The following is a 13755-nucleotide window of genomic DNA, read 5'->3' as shown; positions in this document are numbered from 1 at the left end:
TGGTGTGGAGTTATGAGATGAAGGTCCCAAGGGTGACGGGAATTGTAGTTTCTGTTTTATTTATTCAGAATAAAAGTTTTTACATGCCAGGGACCGTGCCAGGCCCTGGAGATACACTGCTAAGCCCGCCAAACATGGTCCCTGTCCTTGAGGAACTCAAAGACAAATAAACAAGTAATTGCCTTAAAGTGAAATAAATGCTCAGAAAGTGTGGTGCACAACAGTGGTCACTCTGGAATACCCAGGCACCACTCATGTGGTCTTGTCCTGCCCAGATCCAACCCAGATAGAAAGGAGAACAAGGCAGGTGGTAGCACGTGGCAGTATCTGAACCCTTGCTCTTCTCTGGGGTGCTGGAGTAAGACCCTTAGGGGACACTGTTGTCGGATCCATCAACCCTGCGACCAGGCAAGAGTGGTACACTTCACCTATCTGACCCTTGTTTCCTTATCTGACTAAAAACAAAGGCTGCCAGGTAGAAGTGGAACTATTCTGTTGGTGTAAGGAGTTTCTAATAACATAAACTTCGGGCAGAATTCGACAAGCTACTTTCTGAGAGGGTGAGATTCTCCCTCACAGACTCTGTTCCAGAAAGGGGTGAAAAACCACTAGCTAGAGATACTGGTGGGCAAATAGGGGTGGAGGAGTTGATGACCTTTAAAGCAAGTTCCAGCTCCAGCATCACAGAAGACCAAGAGAGGTTTATTTTCAGTTGTAAATCTCTCTGATTCTATTCATTTGAGTGAAAAATCACAGTGAACATTTGGCTCACGTTATATTATTGAAAAACTCTCATTTGCCAAAAAATATCAGTTGGATGGTGCTTCTTGGAGTCATTCAAGGCTAAGACCCTGAGTAGCTTAAAGCAAGCATCCTCTTTGACAAAATTTAAGTTTCCTGAAAAGACTGTGTATAATAACTTCTTCAGATGGCCATCAATGCCCTTTACAGAACCTGTGATCAGTAAACCACTTGTGATCTTCATCAAGGTCTGTGCGATTTCTCCTGATGATGTATGGGGTTTGTCTTTGTGGCACTCTTGTTTGTGGCTCATGAATAATAGCTTGTGTCATACACAGCAGTGGAAACTGGGAGATTTTGCACACTCTGCCACTTGCTGTTTTATTTTAGGCAAGTTCCTTAAGGTTTCTGAGATTTAGCTTTATATTTATAAATGAGGACTGTAAGAAAATTACCTACAAGGATTTTATACACTGTAAAGAACTATGGAAATGAAAGGGGCTACCACTGTCGTTTAACTGTGTTGGACACCAGGTATCCCATGAATGATGATGAAGAAATGTTAGGAATGGAAACAGGGATCTTCCCGCATCATGACTCTTAGGGGTCTTTTTGTTGCCAACATGAACCGAGGAATGAACTATGGGCAAATATTACTTCAGAGATAATAATTAGTTTGCAGTTCTGCTTCCAGTTTTCCAAGACTGTATAGGAGGCAAGTAGAGATCATAGCTCATGAGAAAAAGTAAAATTTTAAAAAGTAAATTTATTATCCTGAATAGTATCTTGTTTATCCATTGACTAGGGTCCACATCCATTACATGCAAGAATTCCTTGCTCTGAACTTGTTAATTTATCCTGTGAAAGCATCTGGGAGTCAGGAAGAGAGGGGCCAGTAACTTCAGAGGATGTGAGAGGTGGCAGTGGGGTTGGGGCGTTCATTTGATGATGCAGAGTCAACAGTTTTGGGTACCTGGGATACTGGGCTTAGTGCAGCAGCTTTCTCTAAGACCCATGGAGACACAAGCAACTGTGCATGCTGTAGAGGCACATGGAACAGTGGAGTGGAAAGTGGAAGAGAGGGCAGTGGAGAGGAGCAGAGGGGAGTAGAAGGAGGTGCGGACTAAGAGCAAACTGGACCTGGTGGCTCCTGGTTCTACCATTGTCTGTTGGCAGCCAGGTTTCAGGAAGTCAAGGGGCTCAGTTCACTCATCAAAGCAAGAAAAGAACTGAACCATGTACCCTCGAAAATCTTGGCAATGATGTAGCAGAAATTTTGCAGGATTTGGCAGTGGAAAGTCCCATCTTGTAAAATATACCAGTAAAACCTATCTCATAGGGTTGTAGAGAGGATTAAATGAGAGAATCAAGACGGAAATCCTTAGTACAGTGCTACATCAGCGTCATCAACTGGTTTACGGCTCCAGAAGTGAAAGGAAAAGAATGAAGATGGAGAAAATATGCACTGAAGAAGATAAATAGTTTTTCTCCAGCAAAGATGAATCTGAAATATTAATGGCTAATGCTGGCTTCCCTGGAGCTAATGCACTATATTCAATATTTTTCACCACTGAGTATTTTTTAATGCATCAATAGGTAAGAGAAGCCAGACAGAAACATTTAGATCCTGGACAAACAATAAGGGAACTGGACATTCACGATGGTGTTTTGGCCTATGTGGATGGAATATGGAAATTCATCTTGTATTGCAGGGATCCAGAAACTTCTTGGACCCAGTGGTGATATAGGATAACTTCATCAACTTGGTGCTTGCTAAGAAAGGAGAAGGAGGATTTGGGCATGAGGCCTAACTGTCATCTTCTTGGGTTTGGAGATGATGACACCTCATCCATCTTGTGTCATTTCACAAAATGGCCAATCGCCTCCCTGCCTTGGAATTGGGTCAGGGAGCAGCCGTCCAAAGAGGCATTTGTTAACAGTGAAGAAGCAGTCAGCGCAGGTAGCAGGGGATTTATGCATTTGAGCCCAGGAACGCTGGCTGTGGGGGCGCACATCTGGCCACAAGATGCTCTCTGGCTGCCTTTTGGATGAAGAGGCTTGGTCAAAGGAGGTCATGGCAGGTTCACTTGGATTGCAAATGGGGGGGCTACGGTGAAAGTAAACAAGCCGCTCTTCTGACTTCAAGCTTCTCCCGAACAAGGAGAAAAGAGGTGCGCTTGTGTGTATTTGCAAGATCACTGAACTATTTTTAAGCATTTGGAAACTCAAAGCTGACAAATCTCTCATCAGTCAATATTGAAAGTTTTGTGTGAGAACAATGACAATTAAAAAGCCACCCAAATCAAAAGAAAACTGTTCTAAAGTAATTACAAAAGGGGTTAAAGAAAAAAATACGTCCTTATGTGCTATTGGTTCTGCAAAGTAAGTCAACACTCTAGTCTACAGAATTCTTACACCATAACTTTTTCTGTTTTCCTCGACTAATTTTTAAAAATTATATTAATAAAAGATTTTCATGCATTTAATAAGGTTTCTTTCATTTGGTTTTATTCTTTCTGTTTTAAATTCAATATTATAAACTAGTAGTCAAGAGTATGAATAATAAAGACAGGAATTAAATTGATCACTCTGCAACTCTTCAAGTAGAAGGAAAGACATCCCCCAAAATGGTCAATGACTTGATTTGGGATTGAAGTTCCAAGGAAATCATTTATTTAATAAAATTTTTGCAGCAGTCACCAGTCTTAATGCCATATTAAAGAAGAAAAATGTGTTCAGCAACAAGACTGACTTTTTCCCATGTGCTTTAGGTTTTGAAAATACTGCTACGGAGATATCTTGATTTTGCATTCACTGGGCTTCACAGTTTGGGGACCCGTTTTTATATTCATTTTCTGGTGTAAAAAGTATACACCATGAGGGCCATATAAATCCACATGTGACTTCATTTTGACTTCTCATGGGGGACTCCCTCCAACCCCCATCCAGTGCCCCAGATAAAAAGACATGTCCTTGTTTCTTTTCTTCTAAGAACAAGATCTTTCCCTTCTAAAATTCCTTCCAAAGGTCTTAATTTCTAGCTTCTGACCCTGCTCGGGCCTTAAAACCCAAGGCCCCAGCTGTTAGGGCCTCTGTCTGGGTCCATGACCCTACAGCAGCCTCTCCACAGCTGGCAAACTTCTGCACTTGCTTTGCAAGTTTGCTATCAATTTCTGGCATGCAGAGATTTTCCTTTCTTTCTTTCAAGCTCAGCTATACATTTTTCAGTTTGTTAGATTGTTTTAATTTGTTTGCATTTTGCCCTGAATTTCAAGGGAATTGTAACAGACGGAGAGCTTCACATTGGCTCAGATCACTGAGTTGTTAAAACTAGAATCCCACAATAATGTTGATAAAATTCACTCTTCCAAAAGTTTCTTCAGATGGGTTTCTCATGAAATTGATTCTTATAATGTCACCTTATAATGCCATGTCTCTTTCTGTCACATGAATAATAATGTATTCTTGAAATTGGCCAGGCCTGATGGTGTCAGAGGAAGAATGTTGAAGAGGAGAAAGGGGTGAAGTATTACTCCTGCCCCTTCCTAGCCGTGTGACCTGGGACAAGCCACTGACCTCCATCTATTTGGTGGAGACAATAATGTAAGCTCCTCACAAATATGTGGGGGTATTAGAAAATTCAAAGACTGTTACTTCTTGTTTGGTTTTCACCAGTGGCCTTACCAGGGTTCCTGGCTAGGAAGCATGATGAGTCTAGAAGATCTACTAGTTTTGAGAACTGTAAAGATGAGAGTTATTCTGCAACATACAAGGAGTTTTTAGGGCAGAAAAAAAATCAATGTTCCCCTGGTATTTCTTGTACAGAAGTGTGGTTTTCTATGCTCACTATGAATTTGTGCAACACTTATCTCTCATGCCATGTAGGAATTAAGTCATCAAATGGAACCCCTATCCTAGGTCCACCCAGACAGATACCTGAATGCTCCATGCATAATTTCAGCCTGATTCATTTTCTTTTCTTTCTTTTTTCTTTCTTTCTCTCTCTTTTCTTTTTCTTTTCTTTTTTTTTTTTTTTGAGACAGGGTCTCACTCTGTCGCCCAGGCTGGCGTACAGTGGCACAATCTCGGCTCAATGCAACCTCTGCCTCCTGGGTTCAAGAGATTTTCCTGCCTCAGCCCCCTGAGTAGCTGGGATTACAGGTGTGCACCACCATGCCTGGCTAATTTTTGTATTTTTAGTAGAGATGGGGTTTCACCATGTTGACCAGGCTGGTCTCAAACTCCTGACTTCAAGTGATCTGTCCACCTCAGCCTCCAAAAGTGCTACGATTACAGGTGTGAGCCACCATGCCCAGCTCTGATGCATTTTCACTCCAAATAGTCCCCCTTGACCCTCCTTCATCAAGCTGGATGTGTGTTTGGAAGCAAAAACATTTTGTGTCAGAGTATAAAGCACATTGTTAATAAAGACAAAAGTACAATACAACCAAAGTGTAGGACCCAGAGTCAGAGCTTGGGATGCCAGAAAGAGTTGATCTCATCCACTTCCCCACACATGGAAGAGGAAGTGGGAACGTTTTCATACCATTGTTGTGTTTTCTTTTCTTAGGTGAACTTAAAAGAAAATGCCTTGGTTACCCAAGATTTTGGTCCAAGAGGAGAAAGTCTTCAGATACCTTCTAAGGAATCTTTCTATCTGGAAGAAGAGAAGTGTGTGAGAAGGGTTATCTTACTGAGAAAGACCCACTGGCTGGGCCATTCCAGGAGGGACAGTAGACCGCAGAAAAAGAAAGGGCCCATCCAGATTGCTGCGAATGCTTCAAATACATTCATGCTCTCAGAAAATATAGATAATTGTCATTTTCTTCTTCCATGCACTGTTTTATGTTTTCTAAATCTCCCAAAGTTAAACAAGTATTAAGAAAAACATTGAAATGGAGATAATGCAATAAGAACATAATCATTGTTGTCTATAATTCTAAACAACTCTTTAAAGAGACATTTGATTGAATGTCACTAAGTAAACATACAAATATGTAAACTTTCAAAATCTCTTATTAGGTCCTGAATGATAGATTTTCATCACAAAGATATATGAAATTTTTAAGCTCAAATAATTTATGTGTTTTAATTTAAGACATCTGCTTTTCATTTGACTAGTTTAAATACCTTCTGTACAATATTTAGATTCTTTATTTTTTTTACTCAGCATCATTTTTGTTTGACCATCCTTTCAGTTTGAGAAATTTTAAAAGTCCCAATACATTGAATACATAAATCATTTTTTAAAAAATACAAATTGACAACTCTGTCTTATCACACCACATTATTCCCCAAGCTGCAGGGTTAAGTTCTCAAAAGAGGTCATTCCTCATGTTCGTAAAATTGTTCTTGTCCTTGACAACAGAAGGAGAAAAGGAGACCAGTTCACAAAGTTACGTTTCCTTCCTTTGTGGCTCTTCGAGCATTTGCTCTACCTTTCCAGATTCAAGCACTTCTACTGAGGGCGATAACATTTAACCAACATGTGCAAGCCTCCACTAGGTACAAAGTGCTATTCTAGCTAACGTGGCGGATTATAAATAAGACACAGTTAAATCATCGAGGAGTTTATGATTTACTAAGGGAGACAGAGATGTAACTAATTCATCTGATTAAGGCAATATGTAGTAAGTGCCTTGATAAGGTGACAAAGAAAAATGGGATTGCAGTTCAAGAAAACATGAATTCTAAGTATGGAAGGAGGAGTGAAGGAGGGGGAAGTCATCCAGGCCAGGGTTTGAAGGGTAACTGGTAGGAGATGTGCACTCCAAAATGAAAGGCTATATAATGAGAAGAAAGAACTAAGCTGAGAGAGACAAGAAAATTTACAGCAGGTACAAGGAATGGCAAGAAGACTGTGTGGTTGGCTTGTGGAGGTAGGTTTAGGAAGGTTGCAGTGAAAGATAAAATTGGAAAGAAACTTTGAGTCAGACTCCGAAGAGACAGAAATAGCATATTAGAAGGTTTGAAGGTTTTTTTAGATGATGGCAGAAGATGGGCATTGAAGGTTTTTAAGCATGAAAATTACATGATCAGATCTGCACTTAAGGACAATAGCTCTGGCCAACAGTCAGGGAAATGCGTTAGAGGAAGAACACATCGGAGACCAGTTAAGAGGATATTGCAATGGTCCAAGTAAAACTTTAAAAATGACCTGAATTAAGACAGCAGTAGAGAACACAGGAGAAAAGGAATAGCTGTTTCAGAACCTTGAAGAAGATGGATGGATAACTTAGAGACCCATTAGATGCTAGAGAACGAGAGATCATAGCTGAACCCCAGCTTTTATACTTCAGGAACCAGAATGGTGGTTTAACTATCATCAACTTTAATAATTGGAATAACTGAGGCTACTAAGGAAAAGCTTCTAAATCTTGGAAATAAGCTTCAGAAATTACTGCATGCCTTTTTAATGTACTATTGGAGTATTGTGTCACAATATTGGACTCTAAGGAAATGTAACTTTGTTTGCCTTACTATTACTGTTGACTAGGACTCAGAATCAGTAAGGTTATGTTAATTTATAGACTTTTATAAGTTGCAAATGAATTTTGTATGGTACAGACACACAGGATTTCTGTCCAGTAGAAAATAGAAACCTAAAGGTAATGATTACATCGACCTGTGGGACATTAAACAATTTTACATCTGATTTAGCACTCTTAGGCCAGCATTCTTTTTTCATACCCTCTTAGAACCTGATTTGTCATTCTACTGGTTCCCTCATTAATGATTTGAATAAATACTTGACATATGCTCACTCTATACTATATATATTTTATTATAAATGTTTTTAACTTCTTGGTAATTATATATTGATAGGGCCTGAAACCAGTAATATGGAAATACCAATGCTTTCCTTGCAGTAGTAGGCAAATCAATATATTAAAAATTGTCCCAAAAGAGGATTTTAACAACCAGGAGACACTAAAGTATGTTTTGATTGAGAAGACAATGTATCCTAAATATTTAGTTGTCCAAAACCCTATACAAGGCTCACTAAAAATATTTCCCATTAGCACAATTTACTACCATCTGATAATATTGCAATGATGGTAGCTATGTCTTTGCCCACATTCTTAATTATTTAAATAGATAATTTATTTAATTAAATAATTATTTCTTAGATATTAAATATTATTTACTTAAATAATTAAGGACAGATTACCAGGATAGGATTGTCTATTCTAGGGATATGCACATTTTTCTAAGGCTTTTTATATGAACGATCTAATTCTACTGTAATCTATATTCCTACCAAATGGTGTATGTGAATATTCATATCCCTAAACAACTAGCATCAACTAGCATTATCTTTTCTTTGTTTAATCTATACCAATTGAATAACAGAATAATAGTTTTAAGATGTCTCAGCTGACAGAGAAAACCTCAGCCCCTCCAAGCCCGTTGTTTAAAAGCACGTAAAATATATCATCATAGAACGAATAAATGCATAACCAAGCCAGAAATTAGTCAAGGAAAGCACCTGGAAGCCAACTTCTCCAAATAGCAGCACTGAGTGAAAGCAGAAGCAGGGGAGCTCATGGGAATGGGAGATGGGCCTGGGTGGGGAGGGGCTCCAGAGTCCCCACCAGAAGGCAAGGGTAGGGTATAGTTCCCCATCATGCCCAGATATTGAATGATGCTGTGTGCATAAAGCCAGGAGAAAGAAAGAGTAGCCAGTTCCTTGTCAACTATGTGGGACTGTAAGTGGGAAAATGAGTCATCTCCAGGAACTAGAACAGGACTATACCACATACCAATGTGGTGTCAGACTCCATATACTCATTTGGTACAATAATTCAAAACTGAAAATTTAATTTAAAAAGTGACTCTAGAGCAACAAAGTCTATGGGTAGCTACAGAAATAAAAGCTAAACCACTGTGTGAGGATAATTTTACAAAATAGTAATGAGACTTCCAGGAAAACAACCACTACTGGCCGGGTGCAGTGGCTGACGCCTGTAATCCCAACACTTTGGAAGGCCGAGGTGGGCGGATCACCTGAGGTCAGGAGTTCAAGACCAGCCTTGCCAACCCCATCACTACAAAAATACAAAAATTAGCTGGGCATGGTGGTAGGTACCTGTAATCCCAGATACTCAGGAGACTGAGGTGGGAGAATCGCTTGAACCCAGGAGGTGGAGGTTGCAATAAGCCAAGATCATGCCACTGCACTCCAGCCTGGGTGACAGAGCGAGACTCCATCTCAAAAACAAACAAACAAACAAACACTACTAAAGATGATTTCACAACAGAAAATTACAAACCACATGGGGAAATAAACCACGATGGAGGAAGAGGAGACCACATAACCATGGGAATTATGCACTCCAAATACTGGATATAAAATAATAATTTGAAATAATCTTGAGACTATCCAAGGAGTTAAGGAAGTCAAAGAAGCCATAAGATATAAGCAGAGCACTATTGAGAGAGACAGAGAGAGACAGAGAGAGAGAGAGAGAGAGAGAGACAGAGAGTCAGAGACAGAGAGATAGAGAGAAGGCAGGTTTGAAAATAACCAAAAATGGGCCGGGCATGGGAGCTCACACCTGTAATCCCAGCACTTTGGGAGGCTGAGGCGGGTGGATCATGAGGTCAGGAATTCAAGACCAGCCTGGCCAAGATGGTGAAACCCCGTCTCTACTAAAAACACAAAAAATTAGCCAGGAGTGGTGGCAGGCATCTGTAATCACAGCTACTCGGGAGACTGAGGCAGAGAATTGCTTGAACCCAGGAGGGAGAGGTTGTAGTGAGCTGAAATCATGCCACTGCACTCCAGCCTGGGTGAAAGAGCGAGACTCTGTCTCAAAAAATAATAAATTAATTAAAAAAATAAATAATAAATAAATAAAAGTGAAAATAACCAAAGTGGAAATTTCAAAAACAAACCCATTCAATTTACAGGATAAATATTATATTAGCCACAGCTATACCAAAACTCATATCCAGAAAATTGATAGTGTAAAAACCAGTTATCTGATTATAAAGCAATTGAGTCATAAATCCAGTATAAAAAGATAGTTTCAAACATTGGAAATGAAAAAAAGGTCAATCATAAATCATCCATATATTATACAAAAAAAAGTCATAATGGAAATTATGAAATATTCAGATATAAATAATAGCAAAATTCTCCATATAAAAACAGGTGGGACACAACTTAAAGAAATGCTTAAGGTGAAATGTGTAGACTTAAGCATATTTATTGAAAAATAATAAAGGATGGGGATAAGCAGGAGCTATTTCATTTAAAAAGCCAAAAAAATAAAAAAACAAAAAGCAGAATTAATGAAATAGAACACCAAGGAAAAAGAATCAAGATTATCAACAAAAAAATTAGCTGCTTTAATAAATATTAATAAAATAGGCAAATATGTATAAAGATTGTTCAAAGCAAAAAGAAAGCACAAATAGTATTAAGAATCAAAAAAGTATGCACCTACAGATGGAGATATTTAAAATTATATGAAGATACTACAAAAATTATATGCCAACAAATTAGAAAGAAATAGATAAAATAAGTAATTTTCTTTAAGAATGCAAAGTATTTGAACATATCATACTCTACAAGCAAAATCCAAGGTACTCTATAGACAAATGATTAAAAGAAATAAGAGAGCTTAGTGGGGCTGTTGACTACAAGATCAAAATATACAAAAAAGTCACTTTTCAATATACAACAACTAACCAATTGGAATATGAAAAAGAACAAAATCATGGCATTTACAATGACAGTAAAATCTATAAGGAACCTGGGAATAAATGAAACAAAGATGTATAATAAGGTCACGGAGAAAAGGGGAGGCACCACTGAAGATTATAGAAAAGCTGTGATCAAGTGAAATCCATGTTAACAGATTCATAGACTCAATATTATAAAGATAACAATTTCTGATCTTCATCAAAACTCCAATGGGATATCTCAGTCCACTAGGGCAATCACTCCAAGTTCATTCAAAAAGTAAAGATCCAAGAATAATGAAGAAACTCCTAGAAGTGTAAGAGGGCGGGAGAGTGGGAATAATAAGAAGAAAAGATTTGTTATACTGAATATTAAGTCTACTGCAAGTTATAGTAAGTAAAACAGTTTGGAGGTGGTAGGGGACCTGTAAACAGATTGATAGATTGGAAAGCACAAAACAGAGCAGAGCATAAATGAGAACTTGGAATGTGACCAATGTGACATTGCAAACAGCAGGAAAATGATGGACTGTACAGTTAATAATGTTAGAGATAGCTGCATGTCTGTGTTATTAAAAATGATCTTTACCTCATGACATACACAAAAACTAAATTCAAGATAAAGAATGAACATAAAATTACAAAACTATACAAACCACAAATATAAAATATAGTCAAATGCCTTTAGAGTGGGAAAGCATTTCTTAATGACGAGTACAAAAAGCACAATATATTAAGAATAGGATAATAAATTTGGCCAAATCAAAAAATAAAACATCTACAAGACTAAAGACATCATAAACAAAGTTATAAGGCCAGCTTTTGACTAGGAAGTCTTTTCTATACATATGACAAGAAAATCCTTAGTGCTCAGAATAACCTACCAATCAACAAGAAAAAAACACCCTCCAGTAGAAAAAATGGCTTAATAATATGAACAGGCAATTCATGAAAGACGAAATTTAAATGGCCAAGAAACACTTAAAATTTTCCATTAACTCACTAGTAATTACAGAAATGCAAATTAAAATAATAATTAGACACCATTTCAGATTAGCAAAAATGTCAAAGTTTGACATATCTAAGCACTGGTGAGGATTTTGAGAAATACTGCTGATGTAAATTTAAAAAATCACTTTAGAGAGCAGTTTGTTAGCATCAGGCAAAACTCAAGAGGTCCATCCCCTAAGATCTTGCAACCCAATTTCGAGAGACACTCTTGCATATGCATACAAAGAATGTTCATTGCAGTATGTTTATCAGTAAAAGCTTAGAAATGACTAAATATTCACAAGTAATTAATAAATAAATTGTGGTATATTCATACATTGAAATAAAATCAAAACTAAAATAAATGAACTGTATCTAGATGCCCTGATATGGTTTAGCTGTGTCCCCACCCAAATCTCATTTTGAATTAAAATTCCCACAATTCCCAGGTGTCCTGGGAGGAACCCAGTGGGAGGTGATTGAATTATGGGGGCAGGTCTTTCCTGTGCTGTTCTCATGATAGTGAATGAGTCTCATGAGATCCAATAATTTTAAAAAGGGAAGTTTCCCTACACAAGCTCTTTTGTCTGCTGCCATGTGAGATGTGCCTTTCACCTTCTGCCATGATTATGAGGCCTCCCCAGCCGTGTGGAACTGTGAGTCCAATAAACCTCTTTCTTTTGTAAATTGCCCAGTCTTTGGTATGTCTTTATCAGCAGTATGAAAATGGACTAATACATGCTCCATTATGAATTTATCTCAAAAACAAAACAATAAGTAAAAAGAGGCAAGATCATATATTGTCAGATATAGTATGATAGCACTTATTTATGAAGTTTGGAAAACATCAAGCTGATACTCTACCTATCATGTTTTATATATAGCAGCTGTATAGTAATAATATTAAAACACAGACTCAAAGTATATGCACCAAGTTCTTTTTAATGGCTGTATCTCAGGAGCAAGGGACAAAGATGATAGACCTGAGAAGTTTTTGGTTTCATTTGTAATGTTCTTTTTCATACACACACATACAGAGTAAAAATGACAAAATGTTATTTCTGGGTGATAAATACATAGACATTTTTCACATTATGCTTTTTACATTTCTATTTTTTATTTTACATTAAAAATAAGCAAAATAGAATGTTGTTTTGATTGCACTTCTTTGCTTATTAGAAAGCTGAAAAGTTTTAAAATATGCTATCAGCCATTTCTACTTTTTCCAATGGAATTGTTTGTTAATATCCTTGGTCTCTCTTTTATTGGAGTTGTTTCAGGTTTTTTATTTTAACTCGATTGTAAATAATATTTTTTCTATTTTCGATATGGTAACCCTTTGGCTGTCATGCAGATTGAAAATATCTTTTCAGTTTATTGTTTGCTCTTACTTTTATTTAGGTTATTTATTGACTTTCGGAAACTTACAATTTTTATGTAATCACATCTATCAAACTTTTATTGTTTTCACAAGATCTTTCTAAACAGTCATCAAAATTCTCATCTCATGTTTTTATGACTTTAACATTTAAGTATCTGAAACATGATAAGCACTATATTGATATTTATTATTGGATAGAATCTTTAATATGGATAGAATTTAGTTTGATACATGTCATAAGGTAGAAAAAATAAATCTAAGTTTATTTTTTCAAACAACAGTTAGCAGTTCATTCAGCACCATTCATACCAATTTTTAAAATAGTGCTAATTTTTCACATGTACTATGTTCCACATACAGTCTCTTTCTGAGTTAGCTATTCTGTTTTATTTATCTGTCTTGCCTATTTTGGTACCACATTCCTAATTGTTGCAGCTTCACAGTATATTTTAACAGCCGGAAGGTCAACTTCCTCTTCTTTTTCTATCAGTTGTTTTTGTTTATTCTTAAGCATTTATTCTTCTAATGAATTTTAAATCAATATGTTAAGTCCTCCCACCCCAAATGCTGTTGGGATTTAATTGGAATTGCATTTTATTTATTGACTAACTTGAGAAGTGTCCTTATCTGTACAATCTTGCACCATCCCACCCAGGAACAAGGCATTGCTCTCCATCTATTGAGGTCTGTTTTAGGCCTCCCTTCAAGTTTGGTGGTTTTTCATCAAATAGATCCTGCATGAGTAAATATTTGTTTATATATATATATGTTTATATATATATATATATATACACAAAATATGAGCTTCTTTTATTATCCTTTCATAATAAATATTGCTAAATAAAGCAAAGCCATATTTATATTTGTTTTGCAATCAGGTCTCTTACTGAACTTAATTGTAATAGATTTTTCAGACTATTCTTTCAGAATTTATAAATGTGTCATTTATAAAT

At 37.0% G+C, this 13755-nt stretch overlaps 1 long non-coding RNA gene across 2 annotated transcripts in view, besides 1 other annotated feature; it reads right to left on the bottom strand.

Annotated features, from left to right (window-relative positions):
- Positions 1-13755, bottom strand: part of CASC2 (cancer susceptibility 2) — a 163333-nt gene that overhangs the window by 62170 nt on the left and 87408 nt on the right. The window lies entirely within an intron of this gene.
- Positions 140-384: a silencer, noted in NCBI's record as "fragment chr10:119907111-119907355 (GRCh37/hg19 assembly coordinates)". NCBI's record gives its function as "represses an EF-1alpha promoter that drives an FKBP-Casp9 reporter gene in an ReSE screen in HepG2 liver carcinoma cells {active_cell/tissue: HepG2}" and the evidence as "EXISTENCE:reporter gene assay evidence [ECO:0000049][PMID:32094911]".

The sequence above is a fragment of the Homo sapiens genome, chromosome 10, assembly GCF_000001405.40.
Source record: "Homo sapiens chromosome 10, GRCh38.p14 Primary Assembly".
NCBI classification, from domain to species: Eukaryota; Metazoa; Chordata; class Mammalia; order Primates; family Hominidae; genus Homo; species Homo sapiens.
Note: the sequence above shows the minus strand (reverse complement) of the source record. Positions and strands in the feature narration are given on the sequence as shown.